We start from the raw sequence: 24,543 nt of genomic DNA, 5'->3' as shown, positions 1-24,543 counted from the left end.
TTTGCTACCAAAAACGAAACCGCCAACTTGGTAGTTAAGTTTTTACTCAATGAAATCATCCCTCGATATGGGCTGCCTGCTGCCATAGGGTCTGATAATGGACCGGCCTTCACCTCGTCTATAGTTCTGTCGGTCAGTAAGGCGTTAAACATTCAATAGAAGCTCCATTGTGCCTATCGAGCCCAGAGCTCTGGGCAGGTAGAACGCATGAACCACACCCTAAAAAACACTCTTACAAAATTAATCTTAGAAACTTGTGTAAATTGGGTAAGTCTCCTTCCTTTAGCCCTACTTAGAGTAAGGTGCACCCCTTACTAGGCTAGGTTCTCACCTTTTGAAATCATGTATGGGAGGGCGCCGCCTATCTTGCCTAAGCTAAGAGATGCCCAATTGGCAGAAATATCACAAAAGAATTTATTACAGTACCTACAGTCTCCCCAACAGGTACAAGATATCATCCTGCCACTTGTTCAAGGAACCCATCCGAATCCAATTCCTGACCAGACAGGGTCCTGCCATTCGTTCCAGCCAGGAGACCTAGTGTTTGTTAAAAAGTTCCAGAAAGAAGCACTCACTCCTGCTTAGAAAAGACCTCACACCATCATCCTCACAACGCCAATGGCTCTGAAGGTGGACGGCATTCCTGCTTAGATTCATCACTCCCGCATCAAAAAGGCCAACAGAGCCCAACTAGAAACATGGGTCCCCAGGCCTGGGTCAGGCCCCTTTAAAACTGCACCTAAGTCAGGTGAAGCCATTAGATTAATTCTTTTTATCTACCTCACTTGTTTGTTTTTGCCTGTTATGTCCTTTGCGCCTTCCTACTCCTTTCTCCTCACCTCTTTCACAACAGGATGTGTATTTGCAAACACCACTTGGAGGGCCAGTACCTCCAAGGAAGTCTCCTTTGCAGTTGATTTATGTGTACTGTTCCCAGAGCCAGCCCGTACCCGCGAAGAGCAACACAATCTGCCGGTCCCAAAAGCAGGAAGTGTCAACCTTGCAGCAGGATTTGGACACTCCAGGAGCCAAACTGGATGTGGAAGCTCCAAAGGTGCAGAAAAAGGACTCCAAAATGTTGACTTTTACCTCTGTCCTGGGAATCACCCTGACACTAGCTGTCGAGATACTTACCAGTTTTTCTGCCCTGATTGGACATGTGTAACTTTAGCCACCTACTCTGGGGGATCAACCAGATCTTCATTCCATAACTCGTGCTTCTCGTCCTAAATTATGTACTAGAAAAAATTGTAATCCTCTTACTATAACTGTCCATGACCCTAATTCAACTCAGTAGTATTATGGCATGTCATGGGAATTAAGATTTTATATCCCAGGATTTGATGTTGGGACTATGTTCACCATCCAAAAAATCCTGGTCTCATGGAGCCCACCCAAGCCAATCGGGCCTTTAACTGATCTAGGTGACCCTATGTTCCAGAAACCCCCTAACAAAGTTGATTTAACTGTTCCTCCACCATTCTTAGTCATAAAAGATACACTCCAAAAGTTCGAGAAAATCTAGATAGGCGCCAACAGGAACGAGAAAACAACATCCCCTGGTATCAAAGCATGTTCAACTGGAACCCCTGGCTAACTACTTTAATCACTGGGTTAGCTGGACCTCTCCTCATCATACTATTAAGTTTAATTTTTGGGCCTTGTATATAAAATTGGTTTCTTAATTTTGTAAAAGAATGCATAGCTTCTGTCAAACTTATGTATCTTAATACTCAATATAACCCCCTTGTTATAATTGAGGAATCAACGATTTGATTCCCCAAAAACACAAGTGGGGAATGTAATGCCCAACCTTGTTTTTACTAACCCTGTTTTTAGACTCTCCCTTTTCCTTTAATTACCCAGCCTTGTTTCCACCTGAATTGACTCTCCCTTAGCTAAGAGAGCCAGACAGACTCCATCTTGGCTCTTTCACTGGCAGCCGCTTCCTCAAGGACTTAACTTGTGCAAGCTGACTCCCAGCACATCCAAGAATGCAATTAACTGATAAGATACTGTGGCAAGCTATATCTGCAATTCCCAGGAATTCATCTGATTGATAACGCCCAAAGCCCCCGGTCTATCACCTTGTAATAGTCTTAAAGCCCCTGCACCTGGAACTGTTTAATTTCCTGTAACCATTTATCCTTTTAACTTTTTGCCTACTTTATTTCTGTAAAATTGTTTTAACTAGACCCTCCCCTCCCCTTTCTAAACCAAAGTATAAAAGAAAATCTAGCCCCTTCTTCGGGCCGAGAGAATTTTGAGCGTTAGCCGTCTCTCGGTCGCCAGCTAATAAATGGACTCTTAATTCGTCTCAAAGTGTGGCGTTTTCTCTAACTCAGGTACAACAAGGGAAAAACACTGTAAAAGAGTCTTGGTGATCTGTGGGAAAATATAAAGATATATGTAAATGTGAGTCTGAGAAGCGGGGAGAAGGCAGAAAAAATATTTAAAAATAATGGTTGAAAATACTCCAAATTTTTTGGAACCTATCAGCCACAGATCTAAGAAGCTCAAGGAACTCAAAGCTAAACACAAGACAAATTGCTGAAAACTAGTGGTAAAGGAAAATCTTGAGAACAGCCTGATGGAAAAAAGATACATACATGGGGACAAAAGTAACAAGATTCATAAACTCCTTGTGAGAATCTATGCAAGCTAGCAGAGAAAGGAATAGGGAGGAAACTCTATCTGGTATTTCTGCACTTGGTAATAATATGAAAAAAGTGAAAACTTTTATAAACAAATGAAAGCTAAAGCCTCAGGGAAAAAAGAAATTGTGTTCTTTGCAGCAACATGGGCACAGCTGGAGGCCGTTAAGTGAAGGCATGCAGGATCAGAAACCCAAATACTGTTATGTTCTCACTTATAAGTAGAAGCTAAACATTGAGTACACATGGACACAAAGATGGGAACAATAAACACCAGGGCCTGCTTGAGAGTGGAGGGTGGAAGGAATGTGAAGGTCAAAAAACTGTCAGCTACTATGCTCACTATGTGGGTGGCAAAATCATTTGTACACCAAACCCCAGGGATATGCAGTTTGCCAATGTAACAAACCTGCATGTGTACTCCCTGACCCTAAAATAATAGTTTCAAATGAAAAAAGAAATGAATGGTAAGAGAATTCATCACCAACAAATGCAGATGGAAACATGGATTCATACATACGAATGGAAATTAACAGAAAAGTTAAATATGAGTAAATATTGTTTTCCTCATATTCTCTTGAAAAAGTAATTGAGTTTTTAATGCAAAATCAATAATGTAGTATAGGGATGGTAATATTTGTGGCAATTAAAATATGAAAATGGCTCAAAGGTGAGAAGGTGGAATGGAAGTATTATTTGTGTGAGATCCCAGCAAATATACGATAGGGTATAATATGTAAAACTAGACATTGAAAGCTAAAAATGAATGTTGAAAGCCTCTAGGAAAAAAAGCACTCAAAATTCTAAAAAGTGCCGTAATATTTAGCCAGTAGTAGAAGTAAAATAGAATATAATTTAAAAAATACAAAAATAGGCAGAAAATTAGAAAAAGAATTAAGGATAGATAAGAGAAACAGAATAAAGAGCAAGATGATTGTTACAAACCCAAATATATCAATAATTACAAACAATGTTAATGGCCTAAATACTTCAGTAAAAAAACACAGAAGAAAGCCAGGCGTGGTGGCTGATGCCTGTAATGCCAGCACTTTGGGAGGCCAAGGTGGGCGGATCACCTGAAGTCAGGAGTTTGAGACCAGCCTGGCCAACATGGTGAAACCCCATCTCTACTAAAAATACAAAAATTAGGCAGGCGTGGTGGTGGGCACCTGTAACCCAGCTACTCAGGAGGCTGAGGCAGGAGAATCGCTTGAACCCAGGAGGTGGAGGTTGCAGTGAGCCGAGATCATGCCACTCCACTCCAGCCTAGGTGACAAAGGCGAGACTGTCTCCAAAAAAAAAAAAAAAAAAAAAAAAAAAAAAAAAAAAAAGATGTTAGGTTATATAAAAAAAGATTAAAATATGAAGACTCGGATTAAAAAGTCAAAAGTATATACCAACTCAAATAGGTTAAAAGTTAAAAAAAAAAAAAAAACACCATGCAAACACTATACCAAAATGGCTATGTGAACATAAAACAAATTGTCTTTTTTTGTTCGAGACAGAGTCTCACCCCGTCACCCAGGCTGGAGTGCAGTGGTGCCATCTTGGCTCACTGCAACCTCTACCTCCCGAGTTCAAGTCATTGTCCTGCCTCACCCTCCCGAGTAGCTGGGACTACAGGCGCACGCCACCACACTCGGCTAATTTTGTATTTTTGGTAGAGATGGGGTTTCACCATGTTGGCCAAGCTGGTCTCAAACTCCTGACTCCAAGTGATCCCACCACCTCAGCCTTCCAGAGTGCTAGGATTACAGGCATGACCCACTGCACCCGGCCCTCACAACAAATTGTCTTTGAAACAAAGAATATTACCAGGGATTTATTCTAAAAAGGCATATTTTATAATACTATAGAAGTGTATTGACCAAGAAGACAAAGCAATCATACAAGTACTTGTGCCTAGTACCAGAACTAAACAATACATTAAAAACTGCTAGAAATAAAAATAAATGAACTCAGAATCATATTTTGAGATTTTAATACTGTTCTCTCATTAACTTTTAAAAGTATATAGAAAATCTATAAAGATATAAGATACCTGAACGGTGCTAATAGCCAACTTGTTGTAATTGATACTTATAGACTAGTCCACCTAAGAGCAGCAGCAGTGTTTTCACTTATACAAAGAACTTTAGCAAGCTTGTTTATATTCTGAGCCATAAATTGTCAATATATTGAAAAGGATTGAAATCAGAAAATCTGTTTTCTAACCACAGTAGAATTAAGCCAGAAATTAATGTCAAAATTAAAAAATGTTTGCAAATTAAGCAACACACATTTAAGTAAACTATGGGACAAGTAAAAAATTACCTATTTGGAGTCAAAAATAACAGCATATAAAATTTTGTGGAATGCAACTAAAGCAGCACTTTGAGGGAAATGTATGCTTTTAAATACATATCAATGGTTTAAGTTCCCACTTAAAGAAACAGGTGAGACTCAGAAAAGGAATTAAGCTTAGAGCTGAAATCAATGACCCCCAAGAAAGCGAAAAACAAGAAAAGCACACTTGGGACCACAAGAGGGCGCATAAGAGAGCCCGCGGACTACAGAGAAACGGCGCTCCACCGCACGAGACACATTCTTTTCACCAGACACCACCCCCCCCACACACACAGACATGCAACACTTGCACAGAAACACACACAGAGATATGCAACACTCGCACAGAAACACACACACCCAGGCAGCTCCTGAGGCTGCTTGGTTCTCCTGTCCGCCAGAAGCCCCTCCCCGGAGACAGCAGCCCCGGTACACACAGGCAGGCGGTACCTACCTCGCAATCCCAGGCGGGACAACGTTCAAGGAGACGCGCTCCCAGCACCGTCTAGGCAGGCCTGACGCGTCGGGGAGATCCGATAGGGATCACGCGGTGCATCCTTGAAGCTACGCTGGACGTTTCTTTAGCCTGGTTCTGCCCTGCCCGACTCCTAGGGTCGGGGGACCAAGGCGACGATCCCCCGGAGAGGAGGGGGCCATAGCCCAGCGCCGACGCACTGCCAGGGAGGGCTCCAGCTCCGCCAAGCCGCTAGGGCCCGTCCCCAGGCAACGGTGGCTGTCACTGTGACGCGAGCCCCGGCTCAGCCGTCGCGCCTGGTGACGCGCGCCTGGCGCATGCGCATTCGCGTGCCCGGCTGGCGCTGCCGCAACGTCAGGGCTCTCAGGGCCCATAGGAAAACGGTGGAGGCCGTGCTGGCTGCGGCCCGGGGAAGAAGGCTGCGTGAGACCAGCAGCGCAGGACCCTGACAGTCCTGACCTCAGTGCCTCCTTCAGCCCACTTCGTGTACGGGTCTGGGTGGAGGAGGAGGCGCTTCAGACCTTGAGGTGGGCACTCGGGACTGCTCTCTGATTTGATTCTAGATTGGAGGGTGTGGGCAGGAATCAGGTCCCATGGGGCTGGGGATCCAATCTGGTGAGGAGTTGAGGGGTCGCTGGGGTAGGAAAACATACCTGAGACCCCAGTGGAGGGTGTGAGCAGGACATTCCCTCGCCCCATGAGCTGACTGGCCCCCTTTCGACCTGGGCCTCCCAGGGCCCTGTCCTGGTCTCCAAGACCAGGGCCTTCGGCTTCTCAGCATTGCTGTCCAGAAAAGGCGGGAACAAGGACAAAGTCAAGCCCGATGTGAAGCAGAGGTGGCAACACCTAAAACTGGCATCCCATGGGGGCAGAAAATGTGGAGAGAGTGTCTCAGAGGCCTTCTGGGGTGAATCCAAGCCCAAAAGGGATATCCAGGCATGCTGGCGAGGGCCACTGAGGATACCCCCAAGAAAGCGAAGCACAAGCAAAGCACACCTGAAACCATAGGAGGGCCTGTGCCGGAGTCCAAGCCTCCTCCAGGGATTCCTGCCAGAGGAGCCAAGAGGATCCTGCAAAGTGATCCAGCACCCACACCGGGATCACAACCCACCACCGGGTCTACACCCAGCTAACCCCCAGTCCCTTTTGCTCCGTGAAATCCCTGGCAACGAAAAGGTGCAGTGCTGAGAGGCAGTCCCAGCCAGGAACAGAGCAATGGGAGACCCCTCAACAATGAGAAAACACCAGCAGATGAGATGAAACATAGCCTTCATTAGAAGGCAAAGGCCAGCTACGGCTGGCTACCTCTCATTCTATGTGAATCATGCAGCCATCTGATGCAATGGGGAGACCAAGAGTTTCCTTATTGGGGAAAGCTACGGGCACCCACGGTTCCAAGAGCATCACAGCTACCCAGTCATTAAGAAATGTGAGTGTTGAGAAGGAAACACTCATCACCTACGTCCCCGCCAAGGTGGTCCTGGACGAACTGGGAAACATTTGCTGTGAAGGACGTTCTGGAGGACTGTGAGCCAGACCAAGGAAAACCTGGGCCGACGAGAATCAGGGAAGGCAAGAAAAGAGGGAGAACAGAGTAGAGGCCGCAGCCCAGGCAGGATCAATCCATCCCACTCCCATGTGCCTCGGGGAACCAGGGTCCAACAGGGGACCTGGCCAGAAAGGCGACAGTCTTCGGTCCAAAGGTTCTCCGAACACTCGTGTCTTCTATCGCCAGCACAGCGCCATGGTGTGGACAGGTTGTACAGTGAAGAGGAAAAGGGGATGGCGTTGGAAACAGTTTCTTTGACATCTGTCTGCACCTGTTCTGCAGGTGAAGGTGCGAGACCTCCTCCACACCTCAGCGGATTGTATCTTCACCCCCATCTGACCTTTTTTCTGCACACATCCTTTAATCCAGAATGAAATCTGAAGAGGATGAAGGAGTGCCCGCCTCAGGTCCTGAAGCTGCGACTCCGCCAGCCACCGAATTAGAAGTGGGCTCAAGGGGGTACTGAGGACAGGACAGCTAGGGTCCGTCCAGCCTTGGGTGTGCCGCAGGACCATGGGCCCCTGGAGGAATTTGTTCTTGGTTGTCGTGTGCTGGTCTTCTTTCTGGAAGAGTGGGCGGCTTGGGAGGGGAGGTGATTTGGACGTTTGCGGGTCGCAGCCAGCCCCCCACTTCACCGAGGCTTTAGGAACCAAGAGCGAAACAAAGAACGCTTGCCCCGCAACCCAAGCCCGGCCAAAGAGACGGGCGCATCAGAGCGTAGGCGAACTACAGAGAAACCGCGCTTCACTGCACGAGCCACATTTCTTTCACCGCACACCACACACACACTCACACGCACACACAGAAAGACACACGGAAACATCCAACAGTCGCACAGAAACACACACAGCCAGGCAGCTCCTGAGGCTGCGCGGTTCTGCTCTCTGCCAGGAAACCCCTCCGGAAAGAGAGCGCCCCGGGGAACACAGGCAGGCCGTACCTCGAAATCCCAGCGGGGACACCTGTCAGGGAGACGCACCCTCACACCGCCCATGCATGCCCGACGCATCTTTGGGATCCTTAGGGATCACGTGGTGCTTCCTTGAATCTCCGCTTGAGGTTTCTTCAGGCAGGTTCGGCCTTGCCCGACTCCTAGGATCGCAGGACCATGGCGACGATCCCGCGGAGAGGGGACGCACTGCCACAGACGCCTGGGGGCCAAGCCGCTGGGGCCAGTCCCCCGGCAACGGTGGCGGTTACTGTGACGCGAGTCCCCCCTCAGCGCTAGCGCCTGGTGATCGCGCCTGGTACGTGCACTTTCGCGTTCCCGGTTTGTGGGCCGCATTGTCAGGGCTCTCAGGCTGCAGCCCAATAGGAAAACAGTGGAGGCCGTGCAGGCGGCGGTTCGGGGAAGGAGACTGCATGCGACAAGCAGCGCAGGACCCTGACTGTCGTGACCTCAGTGCCTCCTTGAGCCGACCTCGTGTTTGGGTCCGGGTGTAGGAGGAGGTGCTTCAGACCGTGAGGTGGGCACTCGGGATTGCTCTTCTGATTTGATTCTGGACTGGAATCAAATTGGAATTGACCCGGAATTGGGTCCCACGGGGCTGGGGAACCAATCTGGTGAGGTGTGGAGGGGTCGCTGGTGCACAGAAACATACCGGATACCCTCGGGGTGGGTGTCAGCAGAACATTCCTCGGCTCCATGAGCTGACTGCCTCCCTTTGATCTGGGCCTCCCAGGGCTCTTCCTGCGTCTCCAAGCTCAGGGGCTCCTGCTTCTCAGCACTGCTGTCTGGAAAAGGCGGGAACGAGGACTAAGGCAAGCCCAGTGTGGGGCAGAGATGGCAACACCTGGAACTAGCTTTTCATGGGGGCAGATAATGTGGAGAGTGTCCCAATTACATCTCCCTTTATTCTATCCCATACTACTAAACCCCACCAGCTATTTGCCTACAAACTGTGTATCAGTCAGGACATCAGGACACCAAGATAAAGGACTAGAGTTTGGTAATCAACTACTGGCTCCTCCAGCAGCTCAGAATGTGGCCTGTATGCATCACTTCACTTAATTCATTCAAGAAATGCTGACTGAGTTCCTGCTGTGTGTTGGACACTTTCTTAGAAGTGGGACACACTGCAGTGTGTGGGACAAAGGCTGGGCCGCTCATTGCTTATGTTCTAGTTGAAGAGAGAGTCAATCAACAACATTCTACTTTCAGACATTGATAAATGCTGTCATGAAAAGACAAGGAACATGAAAAGGTAAGAAAAGGGATGGAGAGAGATGGGATGAGGGGTGCCTGGGCAGACAATGCAATGATCTGGCAAAAGAGTAGGACAATCATGAGACTGCATGTGTTCCAGTTTCTGCTGCTGTAAAACAGCATCCACAGGTTACATCTTTACTATTCTGTTACATACATACTATTATTTAAATAAAAAATAGTACTAGTTAACTGTGAAAATTGCAATTAATAGGGCAGATTAAACAAATCCTTTAAATTTAAACAAATGTTTTATGGTTTTTTATCCTCTGATACATTGTTTCAACTTTAAAAAACCCTCTTTATTTGATATTTAAACTCTATATTAATGTATATTCTTAAGATACATAAATTTAAGATTTTTTTCGAGACAGGGTCTCATTCTGTCACACAGTCTGGAGTGCTGTGGTGCAATTATGGTTCACTGCAGACTCCACCTCTCCAGGCTCAGATAATCCTCCTGCCTCAGACTCCTGAGTATCTGGGACCACAGGTGTGCATCACCACACCCAGCTAATTTCTTGTATTTTTTTGTTGGGATGGGGTTTTGCGATGTTGCCCAGGCTGGTCTCAAACTCCTGGGCTCAAGTGATCTGCCTGCCTTGGTGTCTCAAAGTGTTGGGATCACAGGCGTGAGCCACCACATCCAGCCTAATTTAAGATTTTTAAAAAGCAGAATGTAAATATGGTCATGCATTGTGTAATTCTGTGGATACTTTCTGAGTAATGCATGGTTAGGTGACTTCATCATTATGTGAACATTATAGAGTGTACATACACAAACCTAGATGATGTAGCCTGATGGTACAGCCTATCACTTCGAGGCTACAAATCCAAATTGCCTGGATACTGTAAACAATTATACTCAATGGTATTTGTGTATCTAAACATGTCTAAACATAGAAAGGGTACAGTAAAAATATGGTATAAAAGATAAGAAATCGTATACCGGTATACAGCACTTACCGTGGATGGAGCTTGCAAGACTGGAAGTTACTCCGGGTGAGTCAGTGACTGAGCGGTGAGTGAATGTGAAGGCTAGGGCAGTACTGTATACTACTGTAGACTTTATATGTACTGTATGCTTAGGCTACACTAAATTTATTTGAATTTTTTTGTCGGTAATAAATTAACCTTAGCTTACTATAATTTCTTTATAAACCTTTTAATTTTTAAAAATGTTTTGACTCTCTTGTAATAAATTAGCTTCAAACACATTGTATAGCTGTACACAAATATTTTCTTTATATCCTTATTCTATAATCTTCTACTTAAAAATTTTTTTAATTTTTTTATTTTAATTTAATTTTATTTTATTTTGAGACAGAGTCTCACTCTCTCGCCCAGGCTGGAGTGCAGTGGCGTGATCTTAACTCACTGCAACCTCCGCTTCCCAGGTAATATTATTTAAATAAAAATAGTACTAGTTAACTGTGAAAATTGCAATTAATAGGGCAGATCAAGCAATTCTCTTGCCTCAGCCTCCAGACTTTTTTGTTAAAAACTAAGACACAAACACATTAGCCTAGGTACACACAGTGCCAGGATCATCAAAATGTCATTAGGCAGTATAAACTTTTCAGCTCCATAAAAGTTGGAAAAAAAATAATAATAATAAATACAATTTTATAAAAAGAAAATTTTCAGCTCTGCTATAATCTTATGGGACCACTACTGTATATGTGGTCCCTCATTGACCAAAACATCATTATGTGGCACATGATTATAACAAATGATGGATGGCGAGGTTGTGAAGAAACTGGAACCCTTGTGCATTACTGGTTGTAATATAAAAAGGTACAGCCACTGTAAAAAAAAAACACAGTTTGGTTATTTCTTCATAAGTTAATCATAGAATTACCATATAATCCAGCAATTTCACTTCTAGGTATATGCCCAAAATAATTGAATAAGGTGTTTAAACATAAACTTGTACAAGAATGTTCATAGCAGTACATTTCACAATACTCAGATAATCCTCTCATTGGAAGCAACTCAAATGTCCACCAACTGATGGTATTACCCATGCAATGGAATATTATTCAGTCATAAAAAGGAATGAAGTACTGAGGCATGTTACAACATGAAGGAACTTTGAGGACAGTTTGTTAATACGCTATATACTGTGTAATTCTATTTATATGAAATATCCAGAATAGGTAAATCATTAGAGACTAGAGACAGCAGATTAGTGGATGCCAGGAGTTTGGGGAAGGAAGGGGTGGGAAGAATGGGAAGTGACTGCTTAATGGATACAGGGTTTCTTTTTGGGGTGATGAAAAATTTCTGGAACTAGATTGTAGTGATGGTTGCACAACACCGTAAGTGTAATAATGTCACTGAATTATACACTTTAAAGTGATTTAAATGGTAAATTGTATTATTTATGTATTTTACCACAATAAAGAAGTCACCTATCACCAACCCTTTAGATCCCTTATTGACTCCTTAGACTCCCCACATCCCATATCCCAGAGACTACCACTCTCCCAAATTCCAAGACCTCGGATACCTGACCCACTGGGACACCCATACCAATTATAGCCTTCTCTGGACTCCTGAATCATTGAAAACCAAGTATCTGCATGCAATCATTCCTTGGACCTCTTTATCACTACATCCCAGAACTGATTCTCCTCCCCCAATTCCTAAACCCCATTCCTGCCACCCACTTCCCATTTTCAGTCAATTGCATCCAATTCCTAAGCCCCATCTCTCCGCAAGACCACACATTGCCATGGTTTCCTCAAAGGACATCTCTCCTTCTGTGGCGGCAGGGCCACTGCAACAACCCTCTCCACCTCGCCCCAAGGCTGCCACACACACTCAGGTGTGGCTTTCCGCTGTGTAGCTAAATGCCCAGGGCGCCCCATTATAGTGTGAGATGCTGAGTAATTAATTGCGTCTATGCGGTGAAACCAGGTAGCTGCACCCATTTAGCTGTTTCTCCCTGGGGACGACCATTTTCAAAGATGTGTCCTACAATACCCCCAGCCTATCTTTTTCTGACCCCAAGGTTTTGGTTGTTCTAGGTAGGGATACACAGTTGACAATGACCTGCTACCATCCTTTCTGTTGGAACCCCACTCTGAGGCTGTCACTTCTGCAGGAAACCACTGCCCGCATCTCCTCTCCATCAATATAGTGCTAGTCATAAGAAAAACAGTAGGCCGGGCGTGGGGGCTCACGCCTCTAATTCCAGCACTTTGGGAGGCCGAGGTGGGTGAATTGCTTGAGGTCAGGAGTTCAAGACCAGCCTGACCAACATGGTGAAACCCCGTCTCTACTAAAAATACAAAAATTAGCCAGGCGTGGTGGCTCACGCCTGTAATCCCAGCATGTTGGGAGGCCGAGGCAGGAGAATCGCTGAAACCCGGGAGGTAGAGGTTGCAGTGAGCCAAGCTCATGCCACTGCACTCCAGCCTGGGCGACAGAGTGAGACTCCGTCTCAAAAAAAAAAAAAAAAAGGAAAAGAAAGACGGAGAAAGACAGTAGTGGTCTGCAACCTGCTCTCATTGGTGAATGGTAGGGTATATTGGGCGCCAATATTTTGGAGAAGGTGCTGAACAGCTTCGATTCCACTGCTGGGTGGAGGAACACAGAAAGGCCATGGCAGAGGGGACTCCTTCCTTCCCATAAGCGCAAATGGCACTGGCCCTCCTGTGTGCTGGTCTGGAAAGAGAGATAGCTTGGACAAAGACTTCGGAAGGGCAGAGTGAGAGGGAAGAAGCACAGCTAAGGGGAGTGTGAATCCAATGGCACTTTCAAAATTCCTGACCCATAGACAGCATGTGAGACGTTTATTGTTGTTTTAGGTCACTAAGTTTGGGGGACAATTTGTTATTCAACAAGAATACACCTTCCTTTCTGGTCTCCAACACTCCAGACACATTCCCTTAGGGTGTTTGCATTTTTGCATTTGCTGTTCCCTCTGCCTAGAATACAATTTTCTAGACAGTTGCATTATTACATCTCTCATTCCCTTTAGGTCTTAATGCAGAGATCATTTTGAGGGCTTTCCTGGTTACTGCATCTAAAATTTAACTCCCCTCCTATTTCATTTTGCTTCTTGACAATTATCAACATTTCTTTCTGTTTACTGCTTTATCCCCAGATCCTAGAACAGTGTCCAGTTCATAGTAAGCACTCAGTATATACTTGTGGATAAATGAATACTTCTGTTTAGTGGAGAACTTCCAGCAAGCACATCTAGAATCTGTGCACTCATGGTGCCCAGCAGCAAGTATGTGGCTTACTTAAACTACTGTTCCAACACAGTTGCCATCCTCACTCCTCCCTAGTTTCAAATAAGTGTTTCGCTGATGAGGTGGGTAGACTCCAAGATGGCCCCCAATGATCTCTGCTGCCTGGTAGTCTGGAGAAGGAAATTACTCTCATGTATAATTCCTTCTCTTTGAGTATGGCTGGGACCTATGACTTGTTTCTAGTAGAATGCAGCAAAGGTGACAAGACGTCATTTCCATAACCCTAACCTCAACCCTAGACCAAGTCAGGGTGCCATCTTGTCAGAAAATGGAAACATTTTCAAGGCTTCATTCAGTTTGAAATGTTTTCCCCCTTTATTTTGTTTTTCAAATTACAAAAGCAATATATGTGAACAAGACAATGCAAAGGTATTCAGAAAACTTATTACCCTTCTCCACCAAGGTAACCAATGAATGTTAACACCTTCGTGTGTATTCTTCTACACTTTTCTATGTTCATATAAACATCCACATGCATATATACACACACAGGAGTTTTTACTTTTTTTAAAAATAGAATCGTATACATTATTATGAAATTTTCCCTTTTTACAATATATACCATGAACATCCCCACAAATTAGCAAAATTCTAGCTCCCCCATCCCCAGCCAAATTTACTAACTCACACATTTGTGGTATCACCCGTGATTCAGTCATTTATGTATTTTTCTTTTTTGGTTTTCCTTTTCCCTACACCCCTGACTCCCCCATAACCTACCTGCATTACCCACCTCCCTCCAAGTCAATGCATACTCTTCTATACTTTTCTTCATGCACATAAAATCAAATAAACATATATAGATACCGTTTATTGCTGACAAACACCTAGAGACATTTTGTTAATGATTTAAAAAAATGGAGTCATATTTAACATACTTAATATCTACCTTGCATTTTTCACTCAAGAGAACATTGTGGAATTCCACTCAAGTCCACTAGCATAGTTTTAATTTGTCCACCTTAATGGCTATATTAACATTCTATGGAATGGATACACTATAGTTTTTTCCTTTCTACAATTTCCCAGTTGATGGGTATTTACTTTGATTCTAGTGTTTGCTTTGGTTTTGGGGGTTTTTTTGCCATTAAGAACAATTTTTACAATAAATGTCCATGTTCACATGTTCATCTGTCTTTTATGTATTGGAGCTTTTACTTCTAAGGGAAGATTCTCCAAAGTGACATAAATATTTTAATAATATTAACAGATTTCTTTTCTTTTCTTTTGAGATGGAATCTTTTTGCTCTGTTGCCCAGGTTGGAGTGCAATGGCGCGATCTTGGCTCACTGCAACCTCTGCCTCCTGGGTTCAAGTGATTCTCCTGCCTCAGCCTCCCGAGTAGCTGGGATCACAGGTGCCTGCCACCATGCCCAGCTAATTTTTGTATTTTTAGTAGAGACGGGGTTTCACCATGCTGGCCAGGCTGTTCTCGAACTCCCGACCTCAGACAATTTGCCTGCCTCGGCCTCCCAAAGTGCTAGGATTACAGGTGTGAGCCACCACGCCCAGCCTAAATATTACCAGATTTCTTTCCAAAACAGTAATTTGCATTGTTTTTCAAAATTTATTTCTCCACCAGCAGTGTGTAACATCTTTTGTTCTGATAGCTAAAAATGCTGTTACACAGTGTTATTTGATTTTAACTTTAAATCTGCATCCCCCAGTGACTACTGAGGATAAACATTTTTGGACAGGTCCATTGGCCACTTAGATTTGCTCTTCTCACAACTGTCAACTCATATTCTTTGCCACATTTTGCTATTGGGTTTTTTTCCTGTCCATTTCATGAATGCCTTCTCTCTGATCAGCTTTACAAATATTTCCCCACAATCTATTATCTCTTGAGTTTGCTGATGGCATCTTTTGTCACCCAAAAGATTGTACCAAAAGATTCTACGTAGTCAAATGTTTGTTTCCTTTTTTTTTTCTTTTTCTTTTTTTCTGAGATGGAGTCTTGCTCTGTTGCCCAGGCTGGAGTGCAGTGGTGCAATCTCAGCTCACTTCAACCCCTGCCTTCCAGGTTCAAGTGATTCTCCTGCCTCAGCCTCCCAAGTAGCTGGGACTACAGGCATGTGCCACCACACCCAGCTAATTTTTGTATTTTTAGTGGAGATGGGGTTTCACCATGTTGACCAGACTAGTCTTGAACTCCTAACCTCAGGTGATCCTCCTGCCTCAGCCTCCCAAAGTGTTGGGATTACAGGCATGAGCCACTGCACCCAGCCTTCAACTGCTTATTTCTAAATAGCTTCTGAGTGTCCTGTGTTGGTAAAGTTAATATCTCCCAACTCCTAGATTGTACACATAGGCTCCTTTGATTTTCTTTTAAGAATTCTGTTGCTTTAAAATTTTACGTCTTAAAGCCACCCAGAATTTATTTTTGTGCTGTTAATCCAAATTTTCTTCCTTTAAGATTAAAAGGTTCTGTTCCAGAATTCTTTTTAAGTAAACTACTCTTTTCCCCTGTGGTTTCAGATTTCACCTTTTTCACATATGAAAAAGTTCATATATATCGAAGTCTATTTCTGAATTTTCTACTGTGTTCTAATGATGTATTTACCTGTTCCTTTGCCAATACAATATTAATTTCATTAGAATGGCTTCATGTTATCTTCTGGTATCTAGCATGGCATTTTAAAAATTTTTAATTATTATAGATATATAATTGTTGTATATATTTATTGGGTACATGTGATGTTTTTATACATGGTATGATTTTTTTCATATATTTTTTTCAATGATTGTCAAAAAATCATTGAGATTTAGTGTAATTCCAAAAGAAGTACATATAAATTATGTTTTCTTGTCAGTATGGAGAACAGCTCTTGATTTTGGTACCCTGTCTTCTTAGAAAAGTTAACTCAAAAAATAGTCTTTTCATTTATTGGTGTACAACCATATCATCAGTAAAAATGGATAGTTTTACCTTTTCTGCTGTTTATACCAATTCATTTCTTTTTATTGCCTTCACTGGAATCTCTAAGCCAATATTGAATTCCTGATTTTAAAAAATGGCTTTGGCATAATATATGCTTTGGGGTTTGGGTTAAAAAAAATTTTTTTTAAGAAAAACCGCTTTAAGTGGTTCCCATCTATTACAATGTAAATTAACACATTCTATGAAATGCCTTCTCAGTATCTGTTGAGAGTTCATATGATTCTTCTCCTTTAAACTGTTAATTTGATTGATGCATTTCCTATTAACTGAACTGGTTTGGCATTCTTGGGATGACTCTTACTATGTCACTCTTTGGGTATATGGCTGAATTCTATTTGCTAGTATTTTAACTATAATTTTTGTTTCTATATTCATGAGTAAGACTGGTCTGAAGTTTTCTTTTTTTTTTTTTTTTTTTGACGGAGTTTCGCTCTTGTCACCCAGGCTGGATGGCACGATCTTGGCTCACCGCAACCTCTACCTCCTGGGTACAAGCAATTCTCCTGCCTCATGCCTCAACCTCCCAAGTAGCTGGGACTACAGGTGTGTGCCACCACACCCGGCTAATTTTTGTATTTTTAGTAGAGATGGGGTTTCACCATCTCGAACTTCTGACCTCATGATCCACCTGCCTCGGCCTCCCAAAGTGTTGGGATTACAGGCGTGAGCCACCGCACCCAGCAGAAGTTTTCTTTTTTCAACTATCTGTATTTGATTTTGGTGTTAAAATTTATTCTGACTTAATAAAATAAATGAGTACAGTTCATGGATTGTATTACATCCATATAATAAATAACACTGGTATTACTCTTTCTTTAAAAGATAGAACTAAGCATGAACTCTTCTGAGCCTGGAGCATTTTCCCATTATAGATCTTTAATAGCTTTTTTGAGTTTTTCAATGTTAACTATCCTACCAAGTTTTCTACTTCTTATTGCAGTTTTCATAACTTAAGTTTATTAGAAAAGCATCCACCTCCTCTTTTTAAAAAATATGTTGATTAGAGTTGTATGAGGTATCTTTTTATCACTTAAAAAATCATATTGATATCTGTGGTTATGTCTCCTTTCTCATTCTGGATCAGGCAGTCTTACATGGAGGGAAATCTTGAAAAATGTAGATTCCACATGGCCATTTATTTTCTAATATGGATGACATAGCAACTCAGGGAAGCAGACTTCTTTCCAAACATTGAAATAATTAAAACCTTGGGATTTAGTGTCTAGGACACTTGCAAGGAAATTTATATGAAAAAAATGAATATTCTTGAATTAATTTGCAGAGGGATAGAGAGAAAAGAAATTCTCCTTCAGTGGTCTACGCATGAAACATTTCTGAGTTATACAACCTGTATATAGAATAGTGTATCTAGAATAGTGTAGCAATGCTACTAATTTGCTACAAGATATTTTAAGCAAGACTAAGAAAATATGAACAGTGTACTGTACACCAGGGTGACACTACATTTTGTCAAATAGTTTACAGTGTTTCATTTACCCAGTATCAGGTTCTTAAACTATTCCTTAGCTTGCATTTTTAATATAAATAACTACATTTTAGTAAAATTTTTGGCCAAATTATCCAAATACATTTAAAAACACTGCTTTATTATTTCTGCAGAGGACAGTAACAACCTCTATAGCCATTTACATGTATTACAAAAAGGTGGAAAAATGTAGCTGGTATAATAAAGTTCTTTTAACAATAGTGGGCCATGTTGTTGTTATTTTTTTGTATTGTTAAGACATCAAAAGACAATGATGATATTTAAAGTGGAAAAGTTTTCTGAATGGCATTCTATATGTTGTGTGACATGTGTCTGATATTCACATTTTATGTTAATTTCACATTTACAACTCCAAAATACAAATAATGCTGATTGTATGGCTCACTGTGGAATATACCAGAGTATGCCTTTAAGTCTCTTCACAGATATTTTGTATTCTGCTGTTATTCCATTTAATACATTTTTAAACGTTTACATGCCAGGGTGTCCATGCTTATGTTTGAGAAAGTATTTTCTAGAAAAGTTTGTATCACAATTAGATCATGATTTCCATTATGATACAACACTGTCGGTTGGGCGCGTTGGCTCATGCCTGTAATCCCAACACTTTGGGAGGCCAAGGGCGGGGGGTTGGGGGGTATCACGAGGTCAGGAGTTCGAGACCAGCCTAGCCAAAGAGACCAGCCTGACCAACATGGTGAAACCCCATCTCTACTAAAAATACAAAAATTAGCCAGGCGTGGTGGCAGGTGCCTGTAATCCCAGCTACTTGGGAGGCTGAGGCAGGAGAACTGCTTGAACCTGGGAGGCTGAGGTTACAGTGAGCCGAGATAGTGCCATTGCACTCCAGCCTGGGAAACAGAGAATACAACTCAAAATAAATAAATAAATAAAATAAAAACACACTGTTCAAATTCATTAAAATGATAAGATTTCTCCTAAGGATAAATTCCCTACATACCGGCCAGGCGCGGTGGCTCACGCCTGTAATCCCAGCACTTTGGGAGGACAAGGCGGGCAGATCACAAGGTCAGGAGATCGAGACCATCCTGGCTAACACGGTGAAACCCCGTCTCTACTAAAAATACAAAAAAAAAATTAGCCGGGCATGGTGGTGGGCACCTGTAGTCCCAGCTACTCGGGAGGCTGAGGCAGGAGAATGGCGTGAACCCGGGAGGCAGAGCTTGCAGTAAGCCGAGATCGCGCCACTGCACTCCAGCCTGGGTGACAAAGTGAGATTCCAACTCAAAAAAAAAAAAAAAAAATTCCCTACATACCATGAAACCAGATATTTTGCTCAAGTATTTCCCACAATTATTAAGTTTTCATTCCTGTAGGCATTCTTCCGAGCATGAATTTTCTGATGTCTGCTGAGGTTTGGCTTCTGGTAGAAAGCTTTCCCACATTCATTGCACCCATAGGGCTTCTCTCCTGTGTGAGTTCTCCAATGTTTATTGAGGCATGACTTCTGGCTGAAGGATTTTCCACATTCTCTGCAACGATACGGTCTTTCTCCTGTGTGCATTTTTCGATGTACATTGAGGTATGACTTCTCACCAAACGATTTCCCGCATTCACTGCAGACAAAGGGTCTCTCTCCTGTGTGTGTTCTCTGATGTTCTGTGCGGTGTGACTTCTGGGTAAAGGCTTTCCCACAAAAAAAACATTCAAAGGGTCTTACCCCAGTGTGAATTCTCTGGTGTTTGATGAGGGTTGACTTATGTGAAAAGGCTTTCCCACAGTCAGTGCAGCCATAAGGCTTCTCCCCAGTGTGACTTCTCTGATGCCTAATGAATTCAGACTTGTAGCAGAAGGCTTTCCCACACTCACTACAGACGTGGGGTTTTTCTGTAGGTGGAACCCTCTTCCGTTTGTACAAGAGAGAATCACTTACTGCTGGTTTATACATAAGTGCCGGGTTCTGGGTGAAAGCTTTCTCACAGTGACTGCAACCCCGGGGCTTTTCTCCATTAGGTCGTCTACCATGATTTATACGCTGAAGCAATTTCCCATAAGCATAACACTCATCTTGCTTTTTTGCACAGTTTCTCTTAAAACCAATCAAGTCTAAATTATGGTTCAAATTCTTTCCACAAGGGTTCCAGTTACTAGGGCTCTGGATTGAAGAAAAAAGATCAGTGCTCAGAAGTGATATTTTCCCAAACTTATTATATTCACAGCTTTTCTCCTTGGGCAATGTTTTCTTGCTTATGGCTGCGCCTGGCCTCAAAAGCATGTCTTGCCGTCTTTTCCTCTGGATATTAACTCGCCAGATGTCTTCTGGAGAAAGTACAGTGAATCATCCTTATGAAACTTCATACTACTTAAGAAATGCTCTCAAAATTTAAAGAGTGCACAGCACACAAATAGAGAACATGAACCATAACCCAAAGCACAAACGCAGGGAAGAGTGTTCTATGAGTAAAGAGGATTCTGAACACTGGCACAAATGGAATTCAATATATCATAGAGTATAGAGACCAATAATTTCAAAGAAAATAGGATATTACAGAGCAGAGGTTGGCAAACTTATTCTTAAGGAGTCAGAAAGTAAAGGCTTTGTGGGCCATATGGTCTCCGTCACAATGACTCAACTCTCCCGCCATACCATGAAAATATAGACAACATGTAAACGTAAGAATGTGGTTGTGTTCTAATAAAACTTTATTCACAAAGCAGGTGGCCAATCGGTAGGCCACAGTTTGCTGATCCCTGTTACAGAAGAAAGAAGGTTAAATGTTATACAGTACCTTGCTATCCAGCATGTGGGTCTTCAAGTGGCAATTTTGGCCTTACTTGGAGCTTGTTAGATGTGCAGAATCTAAGGCACCGCCCCAGACCTACTTAATCAGACTCTGCATTTCAACAAGATGCCCCGGTGATTCCAAACACCTTGGAGCTTAACAAGCACTGGTATAGCAGTCATCCAAGGGAATATCATGTTGGGCTAGTTAGTTACAATATAAACGGTAAAGCACTCTAAGGTGAAACAGATTAAAAAATAAAATCAACAAAGCTAACTAGGACTTAAGCAAGAGTTCTTAACTTGGCAGAAAACAGGGGGCTTGTGAACTTTGATAGAAAAGAAATTACATTTTTGTTTTCACTGAGTTCCAACTACAATTGAACATTTCCTTTGAATATGAATATAAGCAACAAAACACAGTGGTATTAGTGGTTCCTGTGACTTGATACTAGTTTGTGAATATTGTTATTTTCATGTCACATTATTATGTTTATAATCATCTCTTCTTTGAGATCATGACAGTTATTAGACCTGATGCTAGGCCTCATTAACGTATAAATGAAAAAGTACATCTACTATTATATTGCACATTTTGAAAATATTTTGAAGCTGGGCGCGGTGGCTCACGCCTGTAATCCCAGCATTTTGGGAGGCCGAGGCAGGTGGATCATCTGACGTCAGGAGTTCAAGACTAGCCTGACCAACATGATGAAACCCAGTCTCTACTAAAAATAGAAAATAAGCTGGGCGTGGTGGCACACACCTGTAGTCCCAGCTACTCGGGAGGCTGAGGCAGGAGAATCGCTTGAACCCAGGAGGAGGAGGCTGCAGTGAGCTGAGATCATGCCATTGCACTCCGGCCTGGGCGACAGAGTGAAACTCCATCTAAAAAAAAAAAAATTTTTTTTTGATAACTATTTTCTAGCTTATTTTGATAATTACTGTACTTTAGTCATTTATTTTATAATCTTATGAACGTTATTATATTTTTATACATAGAAGTGAGGTCTATAGCCTTCAAAAGAATGCCTAAGAAGTCCATGGCACAAAAATAATTAATAACCCCTCACTTAAAGACATTCAGTCATGAGATAATCTGGGTCTCATTTTAGGAGATATCAGTGGAAAATTAAAAGTGGGGCTGGGTGCAGTGGCTCACGCCAGTAATCCCAGCACTTTGGGAGGCTAAGGCGGGTGGATCACGAGGTCAGGAGATCAAGACCAGCCTGGCCAAGATGGTGAAACCCCATCTCTACTAAAAATACAAAAATTAGCTGGGGGTGGTGGCACGTGCCTGTAATCCCAGCTACTCCGGAGGCTGAGGCAGAGAATTGCTTAAACCCAGGAGGCGGAGGTTGCAGTGAGCTGAGATGGCACCACTGCATTCCAGCCTGGGTGACAGAACAAGACTTCATCTGAACAATAACAACAAAAAAAAGTGGAGAAGGACTGGGCATGGTGGCTCATGCCAGTAAATCCAGCACTTTGGGAAGCCAAAGCAGGTGGACTGCTTGAGCCCAGGAGTTTGAGACCAGCCTGAGCGGCACTGCAAAACCCCTTCTCTACAAAAAAAATGAAAATTAGCCAGGTGTGGTAGCACGTGAATATAATCCCAGTTACTCGGGAGGTTAAGAGGTGGGAGGATCGCTTGAGCCCAGGAGGTCAAGGCTGCAGTGAGCCATGATCATGCCACTGCACTCCAGCCTGGGTGACAGAGTGAGACACTGTCTCAAAAAGAAAAAAAAAAAGCAGAGAGGAAGATTTAAAGCCATTTCTCAGAAGAAAAAAAATCAACAAAACCACACATATGAATGGAACAGTTAGAGTGAGTGGTAAAGGCAGAAGATTCAAAATGACCACACGGTAGCAAAGCCCTGGAATAATAAGCAAGATGAAGTGGTGTGTGTGTGTGCGTGTGTGTGTGTGTGTGTGAGTGTGAGTGTGTGTGTGGCAGGGGTAGCAAGGACAAATAAAGATGATTTTAGTTTTTGACACACAAAGAACAGGGTAAGTGCACACCTGTAGTGTAATCCACAGACTGGTTAAATGCGGGGGTGGGCAGTGCAAGGGGGAAAAAAGGGCCCAACATGGCAAAAGGGCTGGTTGTGAGAATCATGTACTCTCAGAATGGGTGAGTTCTTTGAGAGGATTACACCACTGGAAAGAGAACCAAGTTATGGAAAACAGAAAATGCAATTGTTCCTTGGAAGGAAAATGCTGGGTTTGAGCCAGGGAAATAGATAGTAACAGAGTAGCTGGAAAAACGGGAGGCTGACTAGATACATTCTTGTGGAATTTGCAGTTACGAAATTTTCAGAAGAGGAGAAGAAAAGAAGAGGAGGGCAACTGATAACCGGGATACCACAGTCTCAGGACAGCTGAAGAGCACAGTTTAATGGAGGAACACACTCCAGAGAGCGCCAGAAGCAGAAGTTCAGAGGCATCCCTAAGAGTGGGCCATCCATCAGCCCTCAGGGTACAATGGATATTGCTGGAATGTCTTACAGAGCTGAAGGGAGAGGGGCAGTGAGTCTGAGGGTTAATCAGCAGTGGTTAAGATGGGCCCAGCTCAGCCATTTCCTTCACACCTCCCCACCCCAACATGGAATTCACTGCTTCCTCTTCTCTGATCCCACAGTCATCTGTCTATGGGAGTGATTTAAATTTGAGTGCAGAAATTAGGGAAAGCAGGTAGCTCTGAAGCATTTTATCTGGAAAGTTTGTCACAACAGAGAATAGGAAGCAGGAACAGGAGAATCATAGAAGCTTTTATTTGTAAGAATACCTGCATGGGAAAGATTCTGGAGAAAGAGAGATGGACCAAGCACATAAGGGCAGAGGTGCAATCAAGTAGAGCCGAGAAAAACACTCAGATATGGGCGGTGGGGTTGCATGGAGGTTGAAGAGTCATTAACGTGGCTGAAGCTCTCGGAGGACTTTCAAGGCTTTTAAGAGAAGAATGCTGAACAAAATTCCAAAGGTGCCAGCCTCCTTCAGTACCCCTTTTGCTAGATTTATCACACTTACCCCAACAGTGGCAGCCCGGGCATGCTGCCTCACCAATCCATGGTGCTTCTTCCTGCTCCAGTCTGAGGATCACATCTGGTTTGGTGCCTTCATAACCTGTTCCGGGGAAATTGATGCAGGTCTTGGGCTGAGCTCCTTGGTCTTCAGGGCCTCTCAGGCAGCTTTAAAGGCTGCACAATAGATGTTATACTTGGGAGGGGACTAAACACACACCTTGTCCAGAACCAAATGGGATTAGTAATCCAGGACCATGGAAACTCAAGCCACACCCACTGAGGCAGCAGCACAAGGTAAGAATGCATTCTGTGCTGCCAGAATGCTGAGGTTCAAATCCTGACTCTGCTATCTACTAGCTGGGTGACTCTGGGCAAGTTACTTCACCTCTCTGTACCTCAATTTCCAAATGTGTAAAAAAGTGGTACTAATAGTAACTACCTCATAAGGCTTTTATGAGAATGAAATGAGTTAATATTTTTAAAGTGGCTAAAACAATTTCTGGCACATAGAAAGTGCTAGATAATTATTAAATAAATATTTCAGAAGTTCTAGAGTACTTCCGTTGCTTTTTTTTTATTTTTTATTTTTTGAGACAGTTTCGCTCTTGTTGCCCAGGCTAGAGTGCAATGGTGCAATATCGGCTCACTGAAACCTCTGCCTCCCGGGTTCAAGCAATTCTCCTGCCTTAGCCTCCTGAGTAGCTGGGATTACAGGCGCCCGCCACCACACCTGGATAATATTTGTATTTTTAGTAGAGATGGGGTTTCAGGGTTTCACCATGCTGGCCAGGCAGGTTTCAAACTCCTGACCTCAGGTGATCCACCTGCCTTGGCCTCCCAAAGTACTCCAGT

General features: G+C 43.2%; 3 protein-coding genes and 1 long non-coding RNA gene across 20 annotated transcripts in view; 1 reads left to right on the top strand and 3 right to left on the bottom strand.

Annotated features, from left to right (window-relative positions):
- ZNF540 (zinc finger protein 540) overlaps positions 1–5,725 on the bottom strand; it is a 62,806-nt gene extending 57,081 nt beyond the window's left edge. Inside the window, exon 1 of the mRNA NM_152606.5 lies at positions 5,434–5,725. The gene's annotated coding sequence lies outside the window, so the exon portion shown is untranslated. The remainder of the gene's footprint in view (positions 1–5,433) is intronic.
- Positions 1–8,150, bottom strand: part of ZNF571-AS1 (ZNF571 antisense RNA 1) — a 38,400-nt gene extending 30,250 nt beyond the window's left edge. For 2 of the 4 annotated variants that reach the window (NR_038249.1, NR_038250.1), the window contains exon 1: positions 5,434–5,728. This is a non-coding gene — a long non-coding RNA (ZNF571 antisense RNA 1). Of the gene's footprint in view, positions 1–5,433; positions 5,729–6,107; positions 6,238–7,943 lie in introns of those variants that run through there. The other 2 variants (NR_038248.1, NR_038247.1) reach the window with 2 other exon arrangements.
- Positions 5,760–24,248, top strand: LOC124904708 (uncharacterized). Of its 2 annotated transcripts, none has more exons than XR_007067248.1 (2): positions 5,760–9,207; positions 22,971–24,248. XR_007067248.1 is itself a non-coding variant. In XM_047439796.1 (2 exons), the coding sequence occupies exon 1, from the start codon at positions 7,517–7,519 to the stop codon at positions 8,444–8,446; it is 930 nt and encodes a 309-aa protein (XP_047295752.1). In that variant the 5' UTR covers positions 5,760–7,516; the 3' UTR covers positions 8,447–8,469; positions 8,888–10,431. The 2 variants fall into 2 exon arrangements, 1 of the variants encoding a protein (XP_047295752.1); XM_047439796.1 differs by lacking the exon at positions 22,971–24,248 and having other exon boundaries at positions 5,760–8,469; positions 8,888–10,431.
- Positions 13,766–24,543, bottom strand: part of ZNF793 (zinc finger protein 793) — a 36,906-nt gene continuing 26,128 nt past the window's right edge. For 12 of the 13 annotated variants that reach the window (XM_047438816.1, XM_047438820.1, XM_047438815.1 and 9 more), the window contains 2 exons: positions 23,696–23,791; positions 13,766–20,202 (listed from right to left, as the gene is read on the bottom strand). In XM_047438816.1, coding sequence (XP_047294772.1) covers positions 19,220–20,202; positions 23,696–23,791 — 1,079 coding nt within the window. In that variant the 3' untranslated portion in view covers positions 13,766–19,219. Of the gene's footprint in view, positions 20,635–23,695; positions 23,792–24,543 lie in introns of those variants that run through there. The other variant, XM_047438823.1, reaches the window with a different exon arrangement.

Source organism: Homo sapiens, chromosome 19 (assembly GCF_000001405.40).
Source record: "Homo sapiens chromosome 19, GRCh38.p14 Primary Assembly".
In the NCBI taxonomy this organism is placed as follows: Eukaryota; Metazoa; Chordata; class Mammalia; order Primates; family Hominidae; genus Homo; species Homo sapiens.
This window is presented reverse-complemented; position numbering and strand designations above follow the sequence as displayed.